This window comes from Homo sapiens, chromosome 5, assembly GCF_000001405.40.
Source record: "Homo sapiens chromosome 5, GRCh38.p14 Primary Assembly".
NCBI classification, from domain to species: Eukaryota; Metazoa; Chordata; class Mammalia; order Primates; family Hominidae; genus Homo; species Homo sapiens.
This window is the reverse complement of record NC_000005.10, coordinates 37,227,465-37,255,040: the sequence shown is the minus strand read 5'-3', so window position 1 is coordinate 37,255,040 and position 27,576 is coordinate 37,227,465. Positions and strand designations below refer to the sequence as shown.

At 40.9% G+C, this 27,576-nt stretch overlaps 1 protein-coding gene, 1 long non-coding RNA gene and 1 pseudogene across 50 annotated transcripts in view, besides 3 other annotated features; 2 read left to right on the top strand and 1 right to left on the bottom strand.

Moving 5' to 3' along the window:
• Positions 348-548: a silencer, noted in NCBI's record as "peak5228 fragment used in MPRA reporter construct". NCBI's record gives its function as "represses an SCP1 promoter by STARR-seq MPRAs in K562 erythroleukemia cells {active_cell/tissue: K562}" and the evidence as "EXISTENCE:reporter gene assay evidence [ECO:0000049][PMID:32103011]".
• Positions 4,395-5,995, bottom strand: CPLANE1-AS1 (CPLANE1 antisense RNA 1). The gene is made up of 2 exons (NR_134263.1): positions 5,820-5,995; positions 4,395-4,644 (listed from the first exon to the last, which is right to left on the bottom strand). It is a non-coding gene; the product is annotated as a CPLANE1 antisense RNA 1 (long non-coding RNA).
• Positions 5,345-5,824: a silencer, noted in NCBI's record as "silent region_15979". NCBI's record gives its function as "represses an Ori minimal core promoter by ATAC-STARR-seq in GM12878 lymphoblastoid cells {active_cell/tissue: GM12878}" and the evidence as "EXISTENCE:reporter gene assay evidence [ECO:0000049][PMID:35858748]".
• Positions 5,665-27,576, top strand: part of CPLANE1 (ciliogenesis and planar polarity effector complex subunit 1) — a 173,708-nt gene continuing 151,796 nt past the window's right edge. For 24 of the 49 annotated variants that reach the window (XM_047417575.1, XM_047417572.1, XM_047417573.1 and 21 more), the window contains exons 1-10: positions 5,665-5,796; positions 7,296-7,423; positions 9,196-9,331; positions 9,443-9,562; positions 10,434-10,666; positions 11,922-12,028; positions 15,172-15,328; positions 16,081-16,184; positions 23,992-24,174; positions 27,224-27,473. In XM_047417575.1, coding sequence (XP_047273531.1) covers positions 7,343-7,423; positions 9,196-9,331; positions 9,443-9,562; positions 10,434-10,666; positions 11,922-12,028; positions 15,172-15,328; positions 16,081-16,184; positions 23,992-24,174; positions 27,224-27,473 — 1,371 coding nt within the window. In that variant the 5' untranslated portion in view covers positions 5,665-5,796; positions 7,296-7,342. Of the gene's footprint in view, positions 6,196-7,295; positions 7,424-9,195; positions 9,332-9,442; positions 9,563-10,433; positions 10,667-11,921; positions 12,034-15,171; positions 15,329-16,080; positions 16,185-23,991; positions 24,175-27,223; positions 27,474-27,576 lie in introns of those variants that run through there. The other 25 variants (XM_047417561.1, XM_047417569.1, XM_047417558.1 and 22 more) reach the window with 9 other exon arrangements.
• Positions 6,025-6,164: a silencer, noted in NCBI's record as "silent region_15978". NCBI's record gives its function as "represses an Ori minimal core promoter by ATAC-STARR-seq in GM12878 lymphoblastoid cells {active_cell/tissue: GM12878}" and the evidence as "EXISTENCE:reporter gene assay evidence [ECO:0000049][PMID:35858748]".
• Positions 8,562-8,868, top strand: RN7SL37P (RNA, 7SL, cytoplasmic 37, pseudogene; annotated as a pseudogene).

Here is a 27,576-nt window from a genome sequence, read left to right as displayed (position 1 = left end):
AATAAAAATAGATCAAGATAAGAGTTTTTGCCAACATTTTAACCCAGTTGTGCAGAACAAATGAAATATTAAACTAGGCATGCAAACCAGGGAAGACATGCCTCACAGACAGAATGTAAATTCTGTAGAAACCAAGAGTCCTCAATTCAGAAAGATGCTTATCTTTATACCAGAAAAGACACACACAAAAAAACCTTTTATAGTCCCAGAAGGTACACAAGATCTTTTATTAAGATTGCCTTATCCACACCAGATCCCAAATAAAGTAAAAAAGCTTCTACCTGAAGGAGGGAGGCTCAACCTGAGAGAAGACTCACCAAGCCAGAAAAGGCAAGCTGTGGAAGTGGAGAGCTCAAAGAGTTCAAGTGAGTACTCTGCAAACTGGTTCCAAGCATAGCTGATTCCTTTCAATAGTGAACTTTTCTTCAGGTCTCACTTCTGACACCACGTATGTCAATCTAAACAGCAAACAGAGAGAGACTTTCCAAAAGAAAATGATGTTTATTTGAAAATACAGCACTGCAATGGAAATACGCATGCCACAGTAAACTATGTGTGTATGGTTTCTGAAGGAAAAAAATGAGAATTACATAATTGTTTTGAAATAATTATACTTCGCTACAAAGATCAACAACAAGGGTGACACCAGTCTGAAGTTGAACGGGCAGTTGCTGGGCAGATGTCCTTTCGGAAGCATTTTTTGTTAATGATTGCAATGGCCTTTGTGTGAGGTTGCAGAGTTTTTCTTGTTACCAGCATGTAAATGTGAGAACCCTCTCTTCATGGTCCTCCTCAGCTCTGTTTGTCAGGGTTTTCTTAACATTAGTGACTCTATTTTGACTAAGACAACTTTCTTCCTTTTTTTTTTTTTGAGATGGACTCTTGCTTTGTCACCCAGGCTGGAGTGCAGTGGCATGATCCCAGCTCACTGCAACCTCCGTTCCCTGGGTTCAGGCAATTCTCCTGACTCACCCTCCTTAGTATCTGGGATTACAGGCGCCTACCACCATGCCAGGCTAATTTTTGTATTTTTAGTACAGATGGGGTTTCACCATGTTGGCCACGCTGGTCCTGAACTCCTGACCTCAAGTGATCTACCCGCCTCGGCCTCCCAAAGTGCTGGGATTACAGGTGTGAGCCACCACGCCCGGTCAGACTATGACAACTTTCACAATGGTATTTTGTTACAGTAACCTGAACACACCAAATAAGAATATAGATTATATATTTATAATTATGTAAATATATACTTATATATTTATAACCAAAGGTTAATTACAAGCACTCTCTTCCCCTATACCATAAGGGCATATAATCCCTCCTACCACTATCACTATCTTTTTTTTTTTGGAGATGGAGTCTTGCTCTGTCACCTAGGCTGGAGTGTAATGGCGCAATCTTGGCTCACTGCATCCTGCGCCTCCCAGGTTCAAGCGATTCTCCTGCCTCAGCCTTCCAAGTAGTTGGAACTACAGGCGCGCACCATTATGTCCGGCTAATTTTTTTTTTCTTTGAGACGGAGTCTTGCTCTGTTTCCCAGGCTGGAGTGTAGTAGCACTATCTCGGCTCACTGCAACCTCCACCTCCTGGGTTCAAGCGATTCTCCTGTCTCAGCCTCCTGAGTAGATGGGATTACAGGTGTGTGCCACCACGCCTGGCTAATTTTTGTATTTTTAGTAGAGATGGGGGTTTCATCATATTGGCCAGGCTGGTCTCAAACTCCTGACCTCAAGTAATCTGCCCACCTCGGCCTCCCAAAGTGCTGGGATTACAGGTGTGAGCCACTGCGCCCAGCCCACTATCACCATTGATCCACTTTGTAGGTTGATTAGAATGAGAGAAAGAAAATCTGCAAGATAGAACATTGATAAGAAAGAGACTTAGGTACCAAAAAAAAAAAAAAAAAAAAGGAAGTACCATTATTTGTCAACATAAAGACTTTCCCTTCTATATACTGGGGTAGAGGCTCATAAAGGATGTTCAATTTTAGAAAAAAAAAACAAAACTATATTTTCTTTGTAAGATGTGTAAATTTGCCATCATCTCACTTACCACAAAGGAAGCCAGCCTGAAGACAAAGGGCAGAGTGAAGAGAATTAAAGAAAAATTGAACAAGGGTCCTGCCCAATCAAACTTGTAGGAAACCTGCCGAACCTCTGCATCAATGAGACGATCAGTTGGAATTACAGGTGTGTGCCACCACACTCAGCTAATTTTTGTATTTTGAGTAGAGATGGGGTTTCACCATGTCATCCAGGCTGGTCTCGAACTCCTGACCTCAAGTGATCCATCCACCTCAGCCTCCCAAAGTGCTGGGATTACAGGTGTGAGCCACCATGCCCGGCCCAGAATGTATATTTTAACAAGATTCCCAGGTGATCCATACGTACATTAAGATTTGAGAAATACCATTGTATTAGGCTGTTCTTACATTGTTATAAAGAAATACCAGAGACTGGGTAATTTACAGGAAAATAAGTTTACGTGTCTCATGGTTCTACAGGATGTATAGGAAGCATAGCACTGATATCTGCTTCTGGCGGGGGCCTCAGGAAGCTTTTACTCACGACGGAAGGCAAAGTGGGAGCGCGTAAGTCACATGGCAAAAGCAGGAACACAGGCAGGGGGGAGGTGCCACTTTTTTTTAAAAGAGAGTCTTGCTTTGTCACACAGGCTGGAGTGCAGTGGCATGATCTCAGCTCATTGCAGCCTCTGCCTCCCAGATTCAAACGATTCTCATGCCTCAGCCTCCCAAGGTGCCACACACTTTTAAACAACCGGATCTCATGAGAACTCACTCACCATCATGAGGACAGCACCAAGGAATTGTGCTAAACCATTCACAAGAAATTCACCCTCATGATCCAATCACCTCCCACCAGGCCCCACATCCAACACTGGGAATTACAATTCAACATGAGATTTAGGTAGGAACAAATATCCAGGCTATATCTACTGTTTTCTTTGGGTTTGTATAGCATGTTCTTTATTCATTGCTAGTAAAATACTCATCTGTCTCCCACTAAACCTGTGATATTCTTGAAAGCAGGAAATCTGTATTATTACTTTTTGTATTCTGACCACTGCTAGTTGTTCACCAAAACCATTTTCTCAGTCTTTCTGGGTACACTGCTAATCTACATTTCCCAGGCTTCCTTGCAGTTAGGTGTGATCATGTGACTAAGTTATTTCCAGTGGAATGTAAGCAGAAATATTATGTACTATTTCTGGGCACAGGTCTTAAAGACTGTGGGCAAAGCTCACTGTTTTTTCCCTTCTCTTTGACTGGAATCTTAGTTTACAGGGTCTCAGTTGCACTAGCTACATTTCATATGCTCAGTAGCACTTTTGGCTAATGGTTACCATATTAAGACACAGCAGACATAGAACATTTTCATCATTACAGAAATTTATATTGGATAGGAGCACCCTAGAGAGAATATCTACAATCTGTCAGATACCCCAGAATCATTACAATAAATCACCTCTGTTACTTAGGCTAATCAGATTTGATTTTACTATATGCTTTCAAAAGGAACTCAGTTATTATATATCTGGCACTATAACTATACCTACTAAACACTAAACCAAATCTGATGGGGCAATTCTCAGGCTTATTTCTATTTGACCTTTATCAGTTTTTTACCTGGTCAACCATTTCCTTGGATCTCTTCTACCCCTGACATTCTCTCATAAGAATTGGTATGCTGGCAGGCCACGGTGGCTCACACCTGTAATCCCGGCACTTTGGGAGACCGAGGTGGGTGAATCACGAGGTCAGGAGTTCAAGACCAGCCTGGCCAACATAGTGAAACCCCGTCTCTACTAAAAATACGAAAATTAGCTGGGCCTGGTGGTGGGCACCTGTAATCCCAGCTACTTGGGAGGCTGAGGCAGGAGAATCGCTTGAACCCGGGAGGCGGAGGTTGCAGTGAGCAGAGATCGTGCAACTGCACTCCACCCTGGGTGACAATGTGAGACTCTGTCTCAAAAAAAAAAAAAAAGAATTGGTATCCTCCATAAAATCTCTTACCAATATATACTAAAGACAGATGACCCTTAAAAAGTGCAGAGAGGGTGAAAGGGAGACTGATGCTTATTTTACACATTCTGTGTTCCCAAGCCTCCCATCGAGCTTCTGAACCACGCATCTAAATTGTTCACTAGATAGCTCCAGAGGCATCGCAAAATGGATGTGCTTCAAAATGAAACTATTCCTCATTCAAAACCTAGCTTAGTTTTGAACCTTCCCATCACCCAGATAGAGAAAATGGACCTGTGCATACTGCGATCATGGTATTTATGACTGCACTGTAACTTAAGTGTGTGTGACTCTCTTTTGAATAGGGACACCATCTTCCCCTCTTTATACCTAGCATAGTGTCTGACACACATAAGTGCTCAATGATTTTTATTTTAGCAAATTGTAGTCATTTCCATACATTATTTTTTACAGTAAACATTGCCGGATACATTTCCATACGTTTTTAAAGAATAGAGGAGGAGGAAGAGGAGGGAAAAAAAGGAAAATAAATAAATAAACGTGTGGAGCAATCAACTCCAGAATCACACCAATATTTCTAGGTCTAATGGCCACACAGCAAAATCAGCCTCAGTTATCCCATTGTCTTCATATCTTAAGACCTAAAAATGGGAACACAGGATTGTGGGAATAGGTTAGGATTTCTCAGTTTCCAAATTTTTCTGTGAGACTTTTATGCTAACTCTAGCACGGCTTATGTAAAATGTTCGTGATTTGGGGGTGGATCTAAACCACCTCAGATCTATAACCTCTGAGATAAGTGGGGCTGAGCTGCCAGAATGCCATCCGCCATTTATCCCACCCAGAGACACAGGGGTAATTGTGGTTCTGATGCAGCCAGTTCGCCTACCCTGTAACGCTTATTTGCTAAAATAAACCAACCTAAGAGCTAGCCATCCAATGCAGAGGGCAGGGCCATTTTCGGTGCAGAACATACCTGGCCTAGCCAAGGGTGACAGGGTCCTGCCTTCAAAAACAGGCCAGTCACATGAAAGAGTGAAGATGGGCGCATGTGGAGGAGGACAACAGGCCACTGCCTGAGGCCTTCACATTTAAGCTACACAAAAATGCTTTTCCAGGTGAGCAGAGCTCTCGGGCTGCCTGCTTGTGACCCCTGCTCCTGTCAGTCACGAGAACAGGGCGAAGGAGGCGAAAACAGTGCGGAGAATAAGTCCGTAGGACAGTGAGTTCGGAAAATGCCTTCTTCAGTGTTCCAAGGTGCCCACGTGAACTGAGGAGGGCAGAGCAAAACCCCTTATTTTCGGGTCTGTGCAGGGTCCCCGCTAGGAAGGGGCAGCCCTTGAGTTTCATGTTGGTCGGTTATTAAGCGGCTCCCCCGTGAGCCCCGCCCAATGCCTGTGCGCTCAAACTAGCAGCGTCCGAGGAACGCGTTAACTGGGAGAAGTGAACTGAGGGGGTCCGGCGGCCGCTGAGGAGGGGAGCGCGCGGGAGGAGGGGCGAGGAGCCCGGAGGCGGGCGCGGCTGGCAGCTTAGAGGGCCCGGGCGGAGGCCTGAGAGCAGGGCTGGAGGGGCGGAGGACCGGGGAGACCCGCCCGCGGCGTTCCCGGCCGGTTCTGAGCAGGCGCCGTGGCAGCGCCCGCGCCCCCTGCCCGCCCTCCGCCGTCGCCAGGACGCAGGCTCGCGTCAGGGCTGGCGGTAGGGCCCGCAGCTGTCGGCCTGGCGTCTTCACCCCGCGCAGTCGGCCTCGCCTAGCCTTCTCGCGCCTGACTGGCCGGACCCTGCCCCTGGCGGAGGTAACTGCCCGCGGATTCCTTACCCCGCGATCCTGGCCTCCTCGTAAGCTCCCCGGACCCGGGCGTCCTCGGTCTCCCCTCATCTACTCTTCTGTCGGGCAGGTCCGCGACCTTCCGCCTCCCGGGCCGTCTCCCGCCGCACCCGGCCCTGGTACATCCCCACTACCCAGTCCGGGCCCGTCCTCGCTCTGGGCCTACCCCAGCCTCCCAGCGTCGCCTGCTGACGGAGCGCGGGAGCCCCAAGGGGCCGGGGTCACCCGGCCGGCGTGGGTGGTGCCAGGCTCGGGCCACACCTCGGCACCGGACCCGAGTCCCCCAGCTTCTCGAGCAGGATCCGGAGGAATAGAACGTCAATTTTCCTCGCTCTTAGCAATTTTAAGATTGACTAATGGATTTAGGGTATGTCAGTGCATAAAGTTCCCAGTATTTTTTCACTCAATAATTTTAGCAGCGCTGATACTATTGACTGGATTTGTTATTTCATTAGGAGCTGCAAATGATGCTTTTCTAATGCCGGCGTTTCTCTGGCATTTGGTTAACCCTTTTGTGAGAATTTATTTTATTTGCAATTTTATTTATTTATTTTTGAGCCGGAGTCTTCGCTGCGTTGCCCACGCTGGAGTGCAGTGGCTCTCACAGGCACAATCACAGCTCACTGCAGCCTCGAACTCTCTTGTCCTCAAGCGATCTTCCCATCTCAGCCTCCGTGCTGACTGATAGCTAGCATCTTGATAGATCTTTGTGTGCTGTCTCTGAGTAGTTTTTCTTTTAAAGCTATTTTATTAAAAAAACAAAAAAACAAGCCCATCTAATTTGGCCGGGCACAGTGGATCACGCCTGTAATCCCAGCACTTTGGGAGGCTGAGTCGGGCGGATCACCCAAGGTCAGGGGTTCGAGACCAGCCTGGCCAACATGGTGAAACCCGGTTTCTACTAAAAATACAAAAAAATTAGTCCGGTGTGGTGGTGCATGCCTGTAATCCCAGCTACTCGGGAGGCTGAGGCAAGAGAATCGCTTGAACCCGGGAGGCGGAGGTTGCAGTGAGCCGAGATCGCGCCACTGCACTGCAGCCTGGGCTACAAGAGCAAAACTTCAACTCAGAAATAAAATATAAATCAAAACTTTATGAAAATTGTCAGTTAAGATCTTCAGTGGTCCATGCGCAGTGGATCGTGCCTGTTATCCCAGCACTTTGGGAGGACGAAGTGGATGGATCACTTGAAGTCAGGAGTTTGAGACCAGCCTGGCCAACATGGTGAAACCCCATCTCTACTTAAAATTAGCCAGGCGTGGTGGCACACGCTTGTAGTCCCAGCTACTCGGGAGGCTAACGCAGGAGAATCACTTGAATCCGGGAGGCGGAGGTTGCAGTGAGCTGAGATCATATCACTGCACTCCAGCTGGGGCAACAGAACGAAACTCTTGTCTCAAAAAAAAAAAAAAAATGCCCAGTGAATATTATGCATCATTTATATTTTATTACTATTATTGTTTACAGAATCTTGGGACTGTTTTACTTAATTGGTCATTGATAGCTTAACAAACATGGAGATAAGATTAGAAATCTTGACATCAACAGGTATTAAGCAGAAAAAACCATGGCCACGTGTCTCCTGGTTGGGAAAGGTAGGTTTTTCTTTATTCATGCAATACCAGTTTTATATATGTTATATGTGTGTTTTGCCTGTAATATAGGAGTGTTCTATGATCTTAAATAAATAAAACATCATCTACTGGAGGAGGATCTACAGGAGGATCACCTACCTGCACACTGAACAGGGTTTTGTGTGTGTTTCGTTTTTATTATAATGAGCAAGTTAGCTTTTCCAGAATGTTAAGTGGTTTATTTAGAAGATTTTTACTTAAACTATTTTTTTCATATTATGTTTAAGTCAAGTTTAAGTTAAGTTGAGATGGCATATATCAAAAGGGAATATTTAATGTCCTGAGCTTTCCTTTACTGGAACAGTTAATGGAGTGTTTCCTCCTATTGTGGTTTTCATGATTGTGCTATGAAGTGTTCTTGGAAACTAGGATGGAAGAAATGGGCCACAATACGTTAGTAATCCAGGAATGCCATTCATAATATATGGCATAGATTCCCCACTTAGGGAAAGTAGGCAACCCTACTTTATTTGTGATGATTATTGAAATAAAGTGTTAAATTTCCTGTGAGAAATTATACCACTAACTCCCCTGTAACAGGAGTTCTCAAACTATCAGAACTATCTGGAGAGGTGGTTAAAACACAGATTGCTGGGCCCTGTTCCCAAAGTTTTCAGTTAATTAGGTCTGCTGTAGGGTTGGATATTTTGTATTTTTTTATTTTTATTTTTTGAGATGGAGTCTCGCTCTGTTGCCCAGGCTGGACGCAATGGCATCCTCTCGGCTCACTGCAACCTCAGCCTCCCAGGTTCAAGCGATTGTCTTGCCTCAGCCTCCTGAATAGCTGGGATTACAGACGCATGCCACCATGCCCAGCTAATTTTTATATTTTTAGTAGAGGCTAGGGGTTTCACCATGTTGGTCAGGCTGGTCTTGAACTCCTCACTTCTGAGGTGTTGCTGATGCTGCTGGCTCAGTTATACCTTGAAAATCACTGCCTTAGAATATATGAAAACAAAGTTAACTCAAAACAGCCTACTTTTTCTAGGTAATAAAAAATGAGCAGAGTCAGGGATTTATGAATTTCAGAAGCTATATCTATTTTAATCTAAGTAAATAATTTAAAAACTTGCTCATACTACTGTTAAAATTGATGAGAGTCAGGTTCAGTGGTATGCACCTGTGGTCCCAGCTACTCAGGAGGCTAAGGCAAGAGGATCGCTTGAGCCCAGGAGTTCTGGGCTGCAGTGTGCTATACCGATTACGTGTCTGCACTAAATTCGGTATCAATATGATGACCTCCCGAGATCAAGGGGCTGGGGTAACCACCAGGTTGCCTAAGAATGGTGAACTGGTCCAGGTCAGAAATGGGCCAGGTCAAAACTCTCATGCTTATTAGTAGTGGGATAGTGCCTGTAAATATCTACTCCACTTAAGGCTGGGCAACAAAGTGAGACCTCAGCTCTTAAAAAAAAAAAAAAAAAAAGATTAAAAAGTAGATAAGCCAGTTTTGGCTAGCAGAATTAGAGGACACTCCTATAATTTTAAACTTCAAAGAAATTGAAATACAACTACTAGGTAGCCTTACCTATTAATTCTAACGAGGTATTTTAAAACAATTCAAAATGTTCAGGCTACTATAGAGTATTAAGCTTAATGTTCATTTTATGATTTGTGGTACAAATGGATAATCTTTCTTAAATGTCGCTTTGATTTCTGGGATAATTTATTTAGGCAGTAAGTTGAATTAATTTCTGGCACCTCTTGAGTCCTTCACATGTTTCTTCTCTTAGGAAAAAGAAGCCGTTTTTCTTTTGGATGATAAATTCATAAATGAAATTAATTTGCTATCAGGAAAGATAAAGAAGAAAATTCCTAGTCTGCAGCCTTTCTTGAAGGATGTTATTGTCCTAACAACATCCAGTAATGGTTAAGTAGTACTGATATTTTCAAATGGCTAAAACTATATTTTTTAATAACTTAGGGTGATGTTAAAGGAAATACTAGATTGTAAGTATTGCATTTCATTTTTGGAAACAGATGCCTGGCTGGCTGGGGTACTAACTACAGGAGAGCTTTTCCTTTGGAACAAAGATCAAGATTGTTTGAAAACTATACCAATAACTGAAAAGCCTAAGGAAATGATCAAAGCTACAGTCGGTGGGAATTTTTTTATTTGTTTAAGTTGGTTTAACTAGGAAAAATAGGAAAAGAGGATGAAACATTTTTCTGTTACTGTCTTGAAAATGTATTTCTGTGTATGTGCATATGTATATCTGAGTGTGTGTATATATATATATATATATATATATATATATATATATATATATATATATATATAGTTTTGGTTATGTTTATCTGTGATACTGAGACTCAACTTGAAGAAGAAAATTCTGGCATGCCTAACATTTCTGTGATAATAATAGGTTTCTAATATCACATAATATATACTTGATAAATGTTGCTATTTTTGTACTTTTTTTTTTCTTTTTTTTGAGACGGAGTCTCGCTCTGTCGCCCAGGCTGGAGTGCAGTGGTGGGATCTCAGCTCACTCGCCTCCGGGGTCCACGCCATTCTCCTGCCTCAGCCTCCCGAGTAGCTGGGACTACAGGCGCCAGCCACCATGCCCGGCTAATTTTTTTGTATTTTTAGTAGAGACGGGGTTTCACCGTGTTAGCCAGGATGGTCTTGATCTCCTGACCTCGTGATCCACCCAGCCTTTTTTTTTCTTTTTTAGAGACAGGATCTTGTTCTGTCACTCAGGCTGAAGTATAGTGGCATGATCATAGCTCACTGCAGCTTTGACCTTTTGGGCTAAAGCGATCCGTCTCCTTAAGCCTCCCAAAGTGCTGGGATTACAGGCATGAGCTGCCGTGCCTGGATTGTATTTTTTGCTAGTGCCTTAGTTTTGACATCCTGAATGGTAACATTATTTGTTTTTTTTTTATTGTAAGAATACATAAATTATGTACTTTATTGGGGGGAATTCAGACTTCAGAGGCTTAATTACTTTTTTTGTTACTTTTTTAGCAAGCTCTTTGAGACTGTACTTGTATGTATCTGGAAATGGGAAAAGAATTGTGCTCATAACACCTTCTGGATGCATATTTCTTTGGGAATATTTGGAATTAAAGAATATCTTATCTTCTAAAAGCCTTTCATTGGCGGGTCGGTGGTCCCAGGTCATACCTGAAGAAGCAGTTCTCTTGCCTTCCACCGAAGATAAAGAAGCTGTAGTGAATGCTGTTTTTATAAAAAATGAGGTAAAATCAGTCTCAGACTCTTATCTGTGAAGCAGATTAGCAGAGTGTGTAATGGTATAACTATATATCTTTAGTCACCATAAATTTTCATAGTAATTGTGAAATTCTTGTATGGAAAAGATATTTTTATATTTCTTGGGTCACATTTTTAAAAAGTGTTTATTAAAATTAGTTTTAACTTAGAACTCCTTTTCTCTATCCTTGATTTAAAAATATAGCTTGTTATGCCGGGCGCGGTGGCTCACGCCTGTATTCCCAGCACTTTGGGAGGCTGAGGCGGGTGGATCACCTGAGGTCGAGAGTTCAAGACCAGCCTGACCAACATGGAGAAACCCCGTCTCTGCTAAAACTACAAAATTATCTGGGCGTGGTGGCACATGCCTGTAATCCCAGCTACTCAGGAGGCTGAGGCAGGAGAATCGATTGAACCTGGGAGGCGGAGGTTGCAGTGAGCCGAGATCGTGCCATTACACTCCAGCCTGGGCAACGAGAGTGAAACTCTGTCTCAAAAAAAAAAAGTATAATATATAATATATATACACGTATATAATATATATCGTATATATTATATATTATATGGTATATTATATATGTATATAACATGTATATATTATATATATTATATGCATATTATATATTATATATAATACATGTATATTATATATTATATTTTTATATGTTATATATTATATATGTATATATATTTTTTATATATTATATATAGAGAGAGAGCTTGTTTGGTAATTTAACAAGCTAGAATTGATGATACTAAATATGCGATTTAACTGGGAAATAACAGATTCATGAACTTAAAAAACCAAAACGTATTTAAAATATCTGCTTGGTATTCTTCGTATGTGTGGACCAGCATTTTATTATCCAAACCACTCTTGTTAGAAATTTCACTTTGAAGTTTTATTGTCCCCTCTCCCCACTCTCAGGGTGGTGTGCTAATTTAAATAGTATAAAAGTATAAAAAGAGAAAAATAAATATGTAAGAATATTTTCAGTTATAGTCACAGTCAATGTCAGTATTTTCTTAAGAGCATAAACTACAACCTGATTACCCATTTGAGACCTGCCTCTGGCTCAGAAAAAAATTACTTAGTCTTAAGCTTAATGTTAAGGATAAAAAGTATAAGCAAGATCTCAATATTTTTTACTGGTTTATGATGAGGAATATATATATGTATTTTAGTATCTTGATTTATTTTCAGATTAATTTTATACTAAAGTATATTAAATTTATCTACAGTTATTTGGAGACTGCTGCCTGTGTTCATTTACTTTTTATTCTGGGGAATGCCTGAAGTTAACATTTCTAGCAATTCGGTGGCATGAGAATGTATTTACATCTGTAAGGTGAGGTAAATGTTTTCTTCTTCCTTTTCTTACTGATTTTTTTTTCTTTTGGAGGCAGGGTCTTGCTGTGTCACCCAGACTGGGGGGTAGTGGCACAATCATAGCTCAGCCTCCTGAGTACCTGTGACTACAGGTTTGTGCCACCATGCCTGGCTAATTTTTTTTTTTTTTTTAACAGACAAGTTCTTGCACTCCTGGGCTCAAGCAGTCCTCCTGCCTTGGCCTCCCAAAGTGCTGGGAATACAGGCATGAGGCATCATACCCGGCCCCATATTTTCTATCCCTTTTTAAACATTATTATCTTTTGATCCATATACATGTAATAAAATTTGTAAATGTTATTGTGAGTTTCAAGTTCTGAGGCTTTACAAATCATTTCTTCCCCTCTTATTTCTAAATGTTTAATCCAGAAAGTTTATCTTGTTTTGTCTTGTTTCCCTTCTTTGAAGTGAGAATTTGTAAAAGATAAGACAAGCTATGGTTTTACTTGTCTAAGACTATAAAAGTAACTATTCTGGAAAAGAATTCAGTTGAAATTTAAAAGGGACATAACTTTTGATTTCCTATTGTACCTTTTAAATGCTTAAGTGTTCTTTTATTTAAAAATAGTTTTATTCTAAAAAGCCTAATAAAATAGAAAATATGCATTTTTTTTTTTTGAGATGGAGTCTTGCTCTGTCGCCCAGGCTGGAGTGCAGTGGTGCAATCTTGGCTCACTGTAACCTCCGCCTCCTGGGTTCAAGTGATTCTCCTGCCTCAGCCTCCCGAGTAGCTGGGACTACAGGTGCCCGCCACCAGGCCTGGCTAACTTTTTGTATTTTTAGTAGAGACGGGGTTTCACCATGTTAGTCAGGTGGTCTTGAACTACTGACCTTGTGATCTGCCTGCCTCAGCCTCCCAAAGTGCTGGAATTACAGGCATGAGCCACCTCACCCAGCCGAAAATATGCATTATTTTCTTACAATGCCTAAGTAAGATTGAGTAAAATGGTGTGGTGTGGTTTTTATTTTTATTTTTCTGTTTGTTTTATTTTTATATTTTATATTAAGATATAACTTACATGAAGTAACATGAACAAATCTTGGCTGAGTGTGGTGGTGGATGCCTGTAATCCCAGCACTCTGGGAGGCCGAGGCAGGAGGATCACTTGAGCCCAGGAGTTCAAGACCAGCCTGGACAACATGGCAAAATCCCATCTCTACACAAAATATAAAAAAAATTAGCTGAGCATGGTGGCGCATGCCTATAGTCCCAGCTGCTTGGGAGGCTGAGGTGGGAGGATCACTGAAGCCCAGGAGGTCCAGGTTGCAGTGAGTTCAAATCGTGCCACTGCACTCCAGCCTGGGTGACAGAGTGAGACCCTGTCTGGAAAATAAATAAATAAATAAAATAAGATAAACAAGTCTTAAGTGTACAACTAGACTTTGAAAAATATATACAATTGTTTGAAATGTATATATCACTTGGATCAATTATAGAACATTGATACTATCCCCAAAGTTTCCCTCTTCTTTCTGTCTATCTACCTATCTATCTATCTATCTATCTATTTATTTTTGAGATAGAGTCTTGCTCTGTCTCCCAGGTTGGAGTGTGGTGGTGCAATCTTGGCTCACTGCAACTTCTGCCTCCCAGGTTCAAGCGATTCTCCTGTCTCAGCCTCCTGAGTAGCTGGGATTATGGGCATGCGCCAACAAACCCAGCTAATTTTTTGTATTTTTAGTAAAGATGGGGTTTCGCCATGTTGGCCAGACTGGTCTCGAACCCCTGACCTCAAATGATCTGCCCGCCTTGGCCTCCCAAAGTGCTGGGATTACAGGCATTAGCCACCATGCCTGGCCTTCTCTACATTTTATTTTTTATTTTATTTTTTTTTTGAGACAGAGTCTCACTCTGTTGCCCAGGCTGGAGTGCAGTGACGTAATCTCGGCTCACTGCAACCTCTGCCTCCTGGGTTCAAGCGATTCTTCTGCCTCAGCCTCCCGAGTAGCTGACACTACAGGTGCGCACCCCCACGGCTGGCTAATTTTTGTATTTTTAGTAGAGATGGGGTTTCACCATATTGGCCAGGCTGGTCTCGAACTCCTGACCTACTTTTTAAATTCCTTTAAAAATATTTGGCATTATGTAGAAATACGTTTATCCAAACTTTTAGTGGAAGCAGGTATAATATATTTGGGGTTGCATATAAAAACATGGCTCTACTAACAGAACTCTGATATTCAATTTATTTAGCTAATCTGCAGGTTCTCTTTTGTGCACAGACTTCTGAAAGGTCTCTGATATAGTTTGGATGTTCGTCCCCTCCAAGTCTCGTGTTGAAAATAATCCTTAATGTTGGAATGTTGGAGGTGGGGCCTGGTTGGAGATGTCTGGGTCAAGGTGGCAGATCCCTCATGAATGGCTTGGTGTTCTGCTTACAGTAATGAGTTCTTGCTCTGAGTTCACGGGAGATCTGGTTGTTTAAAAGAGCCTGGAATCTCCTTCTCTCCCTTGCTCCCTCTCTTGGGAAAATGCTGCTCCCCATTTCCTTTCTGCCGTGGTTAAAAGCTTCCTGAAGCCCTCACAAGAATCCGAGGAGATGCTGATGCCATGCTTGCACAGCCTGCAGAACCGTGAGCCCGAATAAACCCCTTCTCTTTCTTTCTTTCTTTTTTTTCTTTGATATGGAGTCTCACTCTGTCGCCCAGGCTGGAGTGCAGTGGCGTGATCTTGGCTCACTGCGACCTCCGCCTCCCGGGTTCAAGCAATTCTCCTGCCTCAGCCTCCCGAATAGCTTGGATTACAGGTGCACTCCACCATGCCCAGGTAATTTTGTATTTTTAGCAGAGACGGGATTTCACCTGTTGGCTAGGCTGGTCTCAGACTCCTGGCCTCAAGTGATCCACCCGTCTCTGCCTCCTAAAGTGCTGGGATTACAGGTGTGAGCTACCGTGCCCAGCCAACCCCTTTTCTTTATAAATTACTCAGTCTCAGGCATTCCTTTACAGCAACACAATGGATTAACATAGTCTCTAAAATATTCCCTAAGTACATGTGCACATGTAGGAATTTGGATGGATCCTTTAATTTTTGTAATGAACTACATATAAATTTAAAAGTTACTATACCTTTTGTTTTCAATTATTTCATTACTTTTTTAGATCATTGCCATACCATGTTCATTGGGCTCAACAAGACTGTCATCTCTGTAGTTTAATTCCTAAATGTGAATCAGTAAAGTCAAGAGGAGCTCTAATTTCTGCCTTTTCAAGAGATGGCCTTACCCTGGCAGTAACTCTTAATCAGAAAGACCCCAAGGTCAGTAAATATCTGTCTTAGAAAGTAATCTATAAAAGAAGGAGTTTATTCCAGTTTTGAGATTTTTCTTTTTCTAAATACTCCTTTATATCCATTTTTTTTTTCTTTCTGGTTTTTTTTTTTTTTTTTTTTGACAGGGTCTCTCTCTGTTGCCTAGGCTGGAGTGCAGTGGTGCGATCATGGCTTGCTGCAGCCTCGACCTCCTGGGCTCAAGTGATCCTCTCACCTCAGCCCCCCAAGTAGCTGAGACCATAGGCTTATACCACCGTGCCTGGCTAATTTTTGTATTTTTTTGGTAGAGATGGGGTTTTGCCATATTGCCCAGGCTGGTCTTGAATTCCTGAGCTCAAGCAGTTCTCCCACCTCAGCCTCCCAAAGTGCTGGGATTACAGGTGTGAACCACTGTGCCCAGCCTGCTTTATATTCTTTAAGTTGGTGGTGTTTAATCCAATTTGACATTGTGGATTGGTAAAGTTCTTTAAAGTAGATCCCATAACTTTCAAAACTTGGCTTTCAGAAATGAAAAAAGAATAAGGGAAAAAGAGGAAAGAAGAGCATTGTGGTAACTAATGTTTTTAAGGTGGAACATAAAAGAGCAAAGGCTACCAGGGGTCAATATTGCTTTGCCAGTTAGGAAATACTCCCTAGATAGTTTATTAATATAATAATAGATCTCTGTGTCACCAGAATTATAAATAATGGTTACAGTAAAATAATTTTAATAGTTTTCTTGTCTTTTTTTTCCTTTCTAGGCAACTCAGGTATTATTTATAAACACACTGAATTTTGTTACTCTCTGTGGTAGCCTTAAAGGATGTAGTAACAAGAGTCCCGTGGTTCCAGCTACACTTATTAGGTAAGAACTCTTTTGTCTGTCTTTTTTTTCTTTTTTTCTTTTAAAAGAGATGGGTCTCTGTCAGGTGTGGTAGCTCACACCTGTAATTCTAGCACTTTGGGAAACCAAGGTGAGAGGATCACTTGAGCTCAGGAGTTTGAGACCAGCTTGGGCAACATAATGAGACCTCATCTTTACTAAAAAATAAAAAGAAATTAGCCGAGCATGGTGGTGGACACCTGTAGTCCCAGCTACTTGAGAGGCTGAGCTAGGGGGTATCACCTGAACGTGGGTGATAGAGGCTGCAGTGAGCTATGATCTTGCCACTGCACTCCAGTCTGAGCAACAGAGCAAGACCCTATCTCAAAAAAAAAAAAAAAAAAAAAAAAAGAAAAGGCTGGGCGCTGTGGCTCACGCCTGTAATCCCAGCACTTTGGGAGGCTGAGGTAGGTGGATCACCTGAGGTCAGGAGTTTGAGACCAGCCTGGCCAAAATGGTGAAACCCCATCTCTACTAAAAAAAATACAAAAAAAAAAAATTAGCCAAGTGTGGTGGCATGTTCCTGTAGTCCCAGCTACTTGGGAGGTTGAGGCATAAGAATTGCTTGAACCCAGGAGGCGGAGGTTGCCATGAGCTGAGATCGCACTACTGCACTCCAGCCTGGATGACAGAGGGAGACTCTGTCACACACACACAAAAAAAGATGGGGTCTTACTTATTGCCCAAGCTGGAGTGTAGTGGTGTGATCATAGCTCACTGCAGCGTTGAACTCTCGGGCTCAGTCATTCCTTCCTCATCCTTCTGAGTAGCTGGGACTACAGGTGTGTGTCACTGTATGTAGCTAATTTTTTTAAAGTTTTTTGTAGAGACAGGGTCTTGCTATATTGACCATGCTGGTCTTGAACTTCTGGCCTTAAGTGATCCTCCCATCTTGGCCTCCTAAAGTGCTGGGATTACAGGCCTGAGCCATCATGCCCAGCCTAAAAGTCACTTTATATAAGGAAGGCCTTAAATACTTTTTTTTTTTTGAGATGGAGTCTCACTCTGTCACCCAGGCTGGAGTGCAGTGGTGTGATCTCGGCTAACTGCAAGCTCTGCCTCCCGGGCTCACGCCATTCTCCTGCCTCAGCCTCCCGCGTAGCTGGGATTAAAGGCGCCCGTCACCATGCCCGGATAATTTTTTTGTATTTTTTTTAGTAGAGATGGGGTTTCACCGTGTTAGCCAGGATGGTCTCAATCTCCTGACCTCGTGATCCACTCGCCTTGGCCTCCCAAAGTGCTCGGATTACAGGCGTAAGCCACCGTGCCTGGCCATAGGTGCATATTTCTTACATGCATATGTTGTGTAGTGGTGAAGTGTGGGCTTTTAGTATTAATAGTGAACATTGTACCCAACAGATAATTTTTCAACCCTCACTCCCCTCCCGTCTTTTAGTAGTCTCCAATGCCTATTATTCCACTCTGTATGTCCATGTGTACCCATTGTTTAGTCCCTACTTATAAGTTAGAATATGTAGTATTTGACTTTCTGTTTCTGAGTGATTTTACCTAGGATAATGACCTCCAGTTCCATCCATGTTACTGCAAAAGACATGACTTCATTTGTTTTATGGCAGAGTAGCATTCCATGATACATATATATACACACACCACATTTTCTTTATCCAATCCTTTGTTGATAGATGGTTCTGTTGATTCTCTATCTTTGCTATTGTGAATAGTGATGTGATAAACGTGTGAGTGCAAGTATCTTTTTGATATAATGATTTCTTTCCCTTTGGGTATATACCCAATAGTGGGATTACTAGATTGAATGGTAGTTCCTATTTTGGTTCTTTGAGAAATCTCTATACCATAATGATTGTACTAATTTGCGTTCCCACCAATCATGTTTGTTCCCTTTTCTCACGTTCCCATGAGAAACATGTTCCCATGTTCCCTTTCCTCTGCATACTTGCCAACATGTTGTTTTTTGACTTTTTAGTAATAGCCATTCTGACTGGTATGTTATCTCGTTGTGGTTTTAATTTGCATTTCTCTGATGATTAGTGATGTTGAGCATTTTTTCATATGTTTATTGGCTGATTGTATGTCTTTTGAGAAATGTCTGTTCATGTCCTTTGCCCAGTTTTTAATGAGGTTTTTTTTTTTTTTGCTTGTTGAGTTGTCTTAGTTTCTCATAGATCCTAGATATTAGCCCTTTGTCAGACACATAGTGTGCAAATATTTTCTCCCATTTTGTAGGTTGCCTTTTTACTTCAATTGTGTCTTTTGCTGTGCAGAAGCTTTTTAAGTTAATTAATTCTCATTTGTCTGTTTTTGTTGTGTTTGCTTTTGAGGATGTGGTCATAAATTCTTTGCCTAGCCCAATGTCCAGAAGAGTTTTTCCTAGGTTTTCTTCTAGGATTTTTTTAGTTTCAGGCCTTATGTTTAGGTCTTTAATCCATCTTGAGTTAATTTTTGTATATGATGAGAGGTATGGGTCCAGTTTCATTCTTCTGCACATCTATCCAATTTTCCCAGCACTATTTTTATTGAATAGGGTGTCCTTTCCCCAGTGTATATTTTTATCGACTTTGCTGAAGATCAGTTGGTTGTAGCTATGTGGCTTTATTTCTGGGTTCTGTATTCTGTTACATTTATCTGTGTGCTGTTTTTATACCAGTACCATGCTGTTTTGGCTGCTATAGCCTTGTAGTATAATTTGAAATTAGTAGGCTGGGCATGGTGGCTAACGCACTTTGGGAGGCCAAGGTGGGTGGATCACCTGAGTTCGGGAGTTGGAGACCATACTGACCAACATGGAGAAACCCTGTCTCTACTAAATTGGATTTTGTAAAATTAGCCAGGTGTGGTGGTGCATGCCTGTAATCCCAGCTACTGAAGAGGCTGAGGCAAGAGAATCACTTGAACCCTGGCGGTGGAGGTTGTGGTGAGCCGAGATTGCACCGTTGCACTCCAGCCTGGGCAACAAGAGTGAAACTCTGTCCAAAAAAAAAAAAAAAAAGTGCTGGGCACAGTGGCTCATGCCTGTAATCCCAGCACTTTGGGAGGCCAAGGTGGGCGGATCACGAGGTCAGGAGTTCGAGACCAGCCTGACCAACATGGTGAAACCCTGTCTCTAGTAAAAATACAAAAATTAGCTGGTGTGATGGTGTGCCCCTGTAATCCCAGCTACTCAGGAGGCTGAGGCAGGAGAATCGCTTGAACCTGGGAGGCAGAGGTTGCAGTGAGTCGAAATTGTACCACTGCTCTCCAGCCTGGGTGACAGAACGAGACTCCATTGCAAAAAAAAAAAAAAAAAAAAAAAGAAATTAGATAATATGATACCTCCAGCTTTGTTCTTTTGTTTTTGGTTCCATACGAGTTTTAGGATTGTTTTTTCTAATTATGTGAAAAATGGCGCTGGTAATTTGATAGAGATTGCATTGAATCTGTAGATTTATTTGGGCAGTATGTTCATTTTAATGATATTGGCCTTTTAATCCATAAGCATGAGATGCTTTTCCATTTGTTTATGTCATCTACAATTTCTCTTATCAGCGTTTTATAATTATAATTTCTTTTATCAGTGTTCTCCTCATAGAGATCTTTTACCTTCTTGGTTAAATATATTGCTAGGTATTTTCTTTTATTTTTAGTAGCTAATGTTAATGGGATTGCCTTCTTGATTCACTCCTTGGCTACATAGTTATTGGTGTATTTTCTACTGATTTCTGTATATTCATCTTGTTAATATAAAGTATCCTGAAATCTTACTATATTCATTTATCAAATCTAAGAGTTTTTGTGGAGTCTTTAGGGTTTTCTAGATATAAGATTATATTGTCAGTGAAGAGTGATAATTTGGATGCCTTTTATTTATTTTTTTATCTTGCCTGATTGCTCTGACTAGGACTTCTAGCATTATGTTGAATAGGTGTGGTAAAAGTAGGCATCCTTGTATTGTTCCAGTTCTAAACATTATAGTTGATACCACAGAACAACGTCTATTAAGACTATTATGAAATAATACACTCACAAACTACAAAACCTAGAGGAAATTGATGAGTTTCTTTTATAGGTGACTGGACTCTTTTCTTTTGCTAATTTTAAAATTCTTTCTTTCCCTTTGATTTAACACATTCTGAATATAATAGCCGCTGGTGGAGTCCTTTTTGCTATGTATTTGCATGGGGATCACTGGGCCTCCTGTATCTGAATGTCTAACTCTCTTGCTAGACTTAGGAAGTTTTCATTTATTATTCTTTTAAATAGGTTTTCGGCACTTTTTGATCTCTCTTACCCTTCAGGAATACTGATAATTTATAAGTTCACTCACTTTTTGTACTCCCAGACCTCTTGAAGGCTTTGTTCATTCTTTTTTTTTTTTTCTTATTTTTGTCTGACTGAGATTCTTTCTTTTGCTTGGTGTAGTCTATTATTTAATCTTTTGAATGTATTTTATATTTCCTTCAATTCATTTTTTATTTCCAGAATTTCTTTTTTTTTTTTTTAATCTTTCTCCTTGGTAAATTTCTCATTCATATTGATTTTCCGATTTCTTTGTATTGGTTTTCAGATTTTCTTGCATCTCATTGAGCTTCTTCAAAATCGGTATTTTGAATTATTTCTCTGGCATTTTGGGGGAATTATTTTTGATTGGCATCTATTACCGGACAATTTTTGTGGTCCTTTGGTGGTGTCATATCTCCTTGCTTTTCTTATGTTTTCTGTGGCATTCCATTGATGTCTGTGCATCTGGTACAGCCGTTGCTTGTTTTAATTTTTTGAAAATGCTTTTATAGAGGAGAATTTTTTTCCTGAAGATGTATGTATGTTGTTGATTGAGTAGGATACTTTGGCTTTGATTTTGCATACTTGTAGTAGTGTAATCTTTGTATGACTTCTTCAGTAGTACACAGGGTTGGTGGCACCTGTGATTTCCTCAGTGGCTTAAGGTGTAGTTATTAGTTGGGGTTATGGTGAAGTTTTGTTAGGGACTTGGACAACAACTGAGCCAGTCTTCAGGCCCTAGTAGTGGCAGCAGTGGGGTGAGTGTGCCTGTTTTTAGGCCCTAGACCACCTTATACTGGCCCTGGTATTGATGGGTCCTGAAGGCTGATTCTTGGGCTTCCAGGTGGCATGCTTAGAAACTAGTAGTCGGAGTGGTGGTCTAGGTGTGTGAGTGGTTTCTCAGGCCCCTGGGTATCTGGTATGGTGTGGGCGATGGCAGTAGTAGTGGTGAAGCAACCCACTGGGACCCAAGTAGTCCATGTTGGAGTTACTGGAAGTTGTGATGGTTTGGGGGGACTAGTCCCCCATGACATAGCTGCTCTGTGGCAGGGTGGTGGGTATTCTCCTAAGTGTGCTTCGGAGAGCTTGGTCTCCCCTGTTCCCTGAGTTGGGTGGTGACTGCAGCCACCTCAACCCAAACTCAGCCCAAGGGTGGGACGTAGCCCAGCTCTAAACAGTCAAAATGGTACCTTGGGCCTGGGACCAGAGAGGGTGGTATCCCTCCCAGGCAAGCAGTGTAGGCAAGAAGCTGTGAGAAGTGCAGCCTGCTCACATCTCAGTCTCAACAGCAGCCCACAGCAGGGTGATAGGGAGCCTCCCAGGAGTGCCTGAGAGTGCCTGGTCTCCCCTCTTCCTCCCTGAAGCAGTGCAGTAGCAGCCAAGTCTGTAGATCCCTGGTATCTAGGCTTTCTGACGCTGCTCTAGGCTTGGATGCCTGTGGGATTCCATGTGTTTTCCCTTTCTGGAGCAATGTCTCTGAGCATTCTTTAGGCAGCTCCATGTGTCAGGCCCAAAGCCCTAGTGGGTTGAGGGTTTCTCCCACTCAGAGGTTATGAAAGCCTGTTTTGGGGTATGAAGCCCTGTGGATTTTTCTCTTACTGTTTCCCTGTGTTCAGGAGCCTTTTCCCACTCTTAGTCTTACTTACTACTTAATAGTAAGTGGACAGTCCATGGTTCCTCTCCATGGAGGAGTTACATGCTACCTGTGTCTAGTCAGCTATCTTGAGCTGAGTGTCTTTCTTTTTTTTTTTTTTTTTTTTTTTGCAACAAGGTCTTGTTCTGTTACCTGGGCTGGAGTGCAATGGCGTGATCATAGCTCACTGCAGCCTCAAACTTCTAGGCTCAAGCTATCCCCCTGCCTGCCTCAACTTCCCAAGTAGCTGGGATTACAGGTGCACGCCACCACGACTGTTTTTTTGTTTTTTTTTGGTAGAGCCAGGGTCTTGCTATGTTGCCCTGGCTGGTCTTGAACTCCTGACCTTATGCAATTCTCCCACCTTGGCCTCCCAAAATACTGTGATTACAGATGTCAGCCACTGCACCTGGCCGAGAGAGCCTAGTCTTTTTTTTTTTTTTTTTTTCCCCCAAGATGGAGTCTTGCTCTGTCGTCCAGGTGGGAGTGAAGTAGTGCGATCTCGTCTCACTGCAACCTCTGCTTCTCGGGTTCAAGCACTTCTCTGCCTCAGCCTCCCGAGTAGCTGGGATTACAGGTGCCCACCACCATGCCTGGCTAATTTTTTTGTATTTTTAGTGGAGACGGGGTTTCATCATCTTGGCCAGGCTGGTCTTGAATTCCTGACCTCGTGATCCACCTGCCTCGGCCTCCCAAAGTGTTGGGATTATGGGCCTGTGCCACCGTGCCTGGCCAAGCCTAGTTTTTTAAACAAGTCCCTACATATGTATCCTGTACATCTGAGTCAATAGTAACATAAGTGTTGATTTGGGATGGCATATGAGCTACCACCAGGATCCATGCAAAATTACAGAGTAGGAGAATTTCCTCTTACAGCTTCTAACTTCCTTTTCTGAATACTTTTCCATGCTGTTCTATGCATTTTCAGAGTTTTTAGGTTTATCTAGCCCTGCCTCTTCATTTTCTTTTACTTTCCACAAGTTCCTTTCTCTTTGGTAAATTTCTCATTCATATTATTCATAATACTTTGAAAGTATTAGTCTCAGTTCAGTGGTCTTTTTGATTTAGTGTCTGTCATTTTCTGAGGAGGACCTACTGTTTGTCTCATTAAACATTAGTATCACCAGATATCAACACCTGTGAAAAGACGGGAATAAGGGTTAAAATATAAAATTTTAAAAAATAAAAATAAAATAAATTAAAAAATCACGAAATAGTTAAGGAGTAGTACCAGTTAGAGCTTTGGGAAGAGGGAGAGTCTGCTGTTGAGAGGGACTCTAACAGCCTGCAGAGAGGACAGATGTGGCCTTGAAATCTATCAGTAGATCTTGATTGTAGACTCTACTAGGATTAAAATTCATTCTAATATGTGAGTGACTAAAAAACTCAGTTCTTTAGGAATATATATATATTTTTTCTCTGTGTCCCAGACTGGAGTGCAGTGGTATGATCTCGGCTCACTGCAACCTCTGCCTCCCCAGTTCAAGCCATTCTCCTGCCTCAGCCTCCCCAGTAGCTGGGATTATGGGCACCCGCCACCACGCCTGGCTTATTTGTATTTTTGTAGAGACGGTGTTGGCCAGGCTGGTCTTGAACTCCTGACCTCAGTTGATCCGCCTGCCTCGGCCTCCCAAAGTGCTGGGATTACAGGCTTGAGCCACGGTGCCTGGCCGAATATTTTCGTTTTTTAATTGCTTATGAATTTCTAATTGGAATATTGTTGAAATAGATGTTTATGAGCAAACTCCTTTGTTCTAGGAAGTAAAATTCATGAAATGTGTATGGCAATTGTCTACTATTAGTCATTCTTTTGCCCTCATTTTTTGAACTTTCACACCTCTGCTTGGTACAGCCCATTTTAAATCGTCATAGACATTGTAAAGTATCTCTTCTAAACATGTTGTCTCTTATTTATTATAGGTCCTACTGGGTAGGTGATATCAGCTGGACGCATGATAGTCTTTTTCTGGCTTGTATGTTAAAACGTGGCTCTCTGGTTTTATTGACCTGCCAAGGTGAATTGCTAACATTAATTACATTTGGTTGCTCTATAGAATTTGGCCCAGCAGAATTTATTCCTCTTCATCCACTAATAACGTATAGGTGAGACATTTGAATTGTGTTAATTTGTTTATAGATTTTTTTTCTGTTTTGTATTACTTTTACTGTGTATTCAAAAAAAATTTCATCTTTCAAATTGTCTTACTTTTTCTTTGAGTCTGTCATCTCAATATCTGTTTCTTATTTGTAGTTTTCTTCTGTTTCTTTTTGTGGCTTAATCCTGGTGAAAATTTGACATTGTGACTATGTAAGTATAAGTTATTTAAATATTTAATAGCACGAAAAATTATCTTCTTTGATATAAAAGTTAATAAAGTATGATATAGCATTTATTGTTATAAAATAATAGCACTTAGAAAATTAATAACTCAAAATTAACTTGACATATGGATTTATCTACTTTTTTCCCAAAGGGAAAAAGTTATTGGAAATGGATAGAAAACTGTAGGATTTAGCCGTATTTTAATTTTTGTTGTTGTTTTAAAATTTTTTTTATTGATATACAATATTTTACATATTTATGGGATACATGTGATATTTTGTTACTTGGATAGCATGTGTCATATTATAATTTTTACTTGTGAGATGAAGTAGCAATTTGGCTTTGGAGTCAGATCAAGATTCACATACCGGTTCTTTTACTTATTAGTTGTATGACTTTGGGTTAGTTATTCTTTTTTTTTTTTTCAATTTTTAAATTTTCATTCTTAGTTTTATTTATTTTTTTTTTCTTGAGACGGAGTTTCGCTCTTGTTGCCCAGGCTGGAGTGCAGTGGTGTGATCTCGGCTCACTGCAACCCCCTCTCCCGGGTTCAAGCGATTCTCCTGCCTCAGCCTCCCAAGTAGCTGGTATTATAGGCATGTGCCACCATGCCTGGCTAATTTTGTATTTTTAGTAGAGACGGGGTTTCACCATGTTGGTCAGGCTGGTCTGGAACTCCTGACCTCAGGTGATCCACCCGCCTTGGCCTCCCAAAGTGCTAGAAGTACAGGCATGAGCCTGTACCAATTTTTTTATTTTTAAAAATTTATTTTGATCTCCCATCTTGCAGAAGAGTTATTCTTTAAGCCTCAGTTTCTTTTACTATGAAAGCAGTGTGACGCTAATTGTGTCTTAGGGTTTAGAGAATGAAGTAAGGTAATACATAATTATAAATCAGCACTGTCTGGCATAAAGTTAGTGCTCAGTAAATATTTGTTGTTATTGATGTTGATTATATGTGGCTAGACACATATGCATAACTGTTTACAAGACAGAAAAGTTGGAAAAGACATTTGAAATTAATCTATTCCGTTTGCTTTATAGAAAGGAAACTGAGGTAGGGTGTTTACTTGATTATATTTATATTTATTATTTATTTATTTATTTTGAGACAGAGTCTCGCTCTGTCCCCCAGGCTGGAGTGCGGTGGCGCCATCTCGGCTCACTGCAAGCTCCGCCTCCTGGGTTCATGCCATTCTCCTGCCTCAGCCTCCCGAGTAGCTGGGACTACAGGCGCCCGCCACCACGCCCAGCTAATTTTTTAGAGACGGGGTTTCACCATGTTGGCCAGGATGGTCTCAAACTGACCTTGTGATCCTCCCGCCTCGGCTTCCCAAAGTGCTAGGATTACAGGCTTGAGCCACCGCGCCCGGCCTCCTCGATTATATTTAGCAAAAATGACATTTAATTTAATTTTTTTTTTTTTTTTTGAGACCGAGTCTCACTCTGTTACCAAGGCTGGAGTGTAGTGGTGTGATCTCGGCTTACTGCAACCACCACCTCCCGTGTTCAAGAAATTCTGCCTCAGCCTCCTGAGTAGCTGGAATTGCAGGCGCGCGCCACCACGCCCAGATAATTTTTGTATTTTTACTAGAGATGGGGTTTCACCGTATTGGTCGGGCTGGTCTCAAACTCCTAACCTCGTGATCCGCCCGCCTCAGCCTCCCAAAAATGACAATTTTTAGCAATTGGCAATGCTAATGGAAAAACGTGTCACTTCCTGCAGTGAAAGTATTTTTTCCTTACTTGTTATGGTCTAATTCATAATTCATTAGAATTTTCTCATATTCTCCTTTAAAATTAATATTTGGGGCCTTCCAAACTGCTTTTTTTCTGATTATGAAAGTATAGTATTCATTATTTATTTTAGCACTCAAAAATCAAATGTTACAAAATTAAATAATGTGGAAAACTAAATACTTGTAATCCTATACTTCAAAGGTAACAATTATTAACATTTTAGTATGTTGTCCCCCACATTTTAAAAATATTCATATAACAATGATAATAGCAATATTAGTTTCTTTTTTAAAAACTAGATAATGTGATATATCCTGTTTACTATTTTCCATTTTTGATTTCACAGTATATCTTTTACATCTTTCCATGTTAGGCATTATTTTTAATGGTTCTACAGAAGTCTGTGGGGTGTATGTCCTATAATTACCAACTTTCTATTGTTGCCATTTGGCTAATAAAAAAAATCTGTATTTGAATAGTTGCCTAACCAGAAAAAAATTACAATATACTTTGATGGTTTGTTCCTTTTATATTTGTAAAGCCCCAACTTTAATAAGGAGTGATATTAAGTAATCAGAATCAGGTACATCATAATAACAATATTGTATGTTTAAGTTAAGTGGAAACTCAAATTTAAATAGGTAAAATTTTACTCACCACCATTCTCTCCAAATCTTCTCAACTTTTTTCTTTCTCCTCTTTAATAAAAAGTATACTGATAGTTCATAATTTTATTTGTGTAAGCATATTTAAATATATGGTAAGAGGAAAGTTAACTATTTAACTCTCTTTAATAGTAAAAATAAACTGCCTGAATTATTTTCTGAAATAGGTTGTATGTAGATAAATACAAAATAGAATAAATGCTACCATTTAGGAAAATTTTAAAACACATGAACCTATATATTATTTTGTCTTTATCCTGTGTTATGTTTTCCTGAAAGATATAAACACATTTAATATTTTTGTGTGTTTCACTTGCTTGCTTTTTCATTGTTCTGTAACTTTTTCTTCTTTTTTGAAAAACATTATTGTTTTCCGTAAGATCTTTCTCTTACTGATTCTTGTATTTTGATGTTTGTTTACTAGACCACAGCAGTTTACGTTTCAAGATTCAAATAATTCTGTTGATTCATCAGCTTCTGATAGTGACCCTATGAGACAGAGATTTTCTATAAAAGCACACTCACGGTTACCCTACCTCGTTATATCTGATGGATATATGGTCACAACCCTTCGATTTCTTGATAGCCTATCTCCATCAGTACACATGAGATCACTTCTACTTGATTCAACCCAGAGGCTTGAGAAAATATATCAAAGTGTGATATTGTCTAAGGTATAGTGCTTTTTTATATCATTGGGGAAAGTTGCCTTTTTCTTTTCAAATTTAAAACTTTACTGACAATAATGTCCTTGAATTGTATACAGTTGTCTATAGA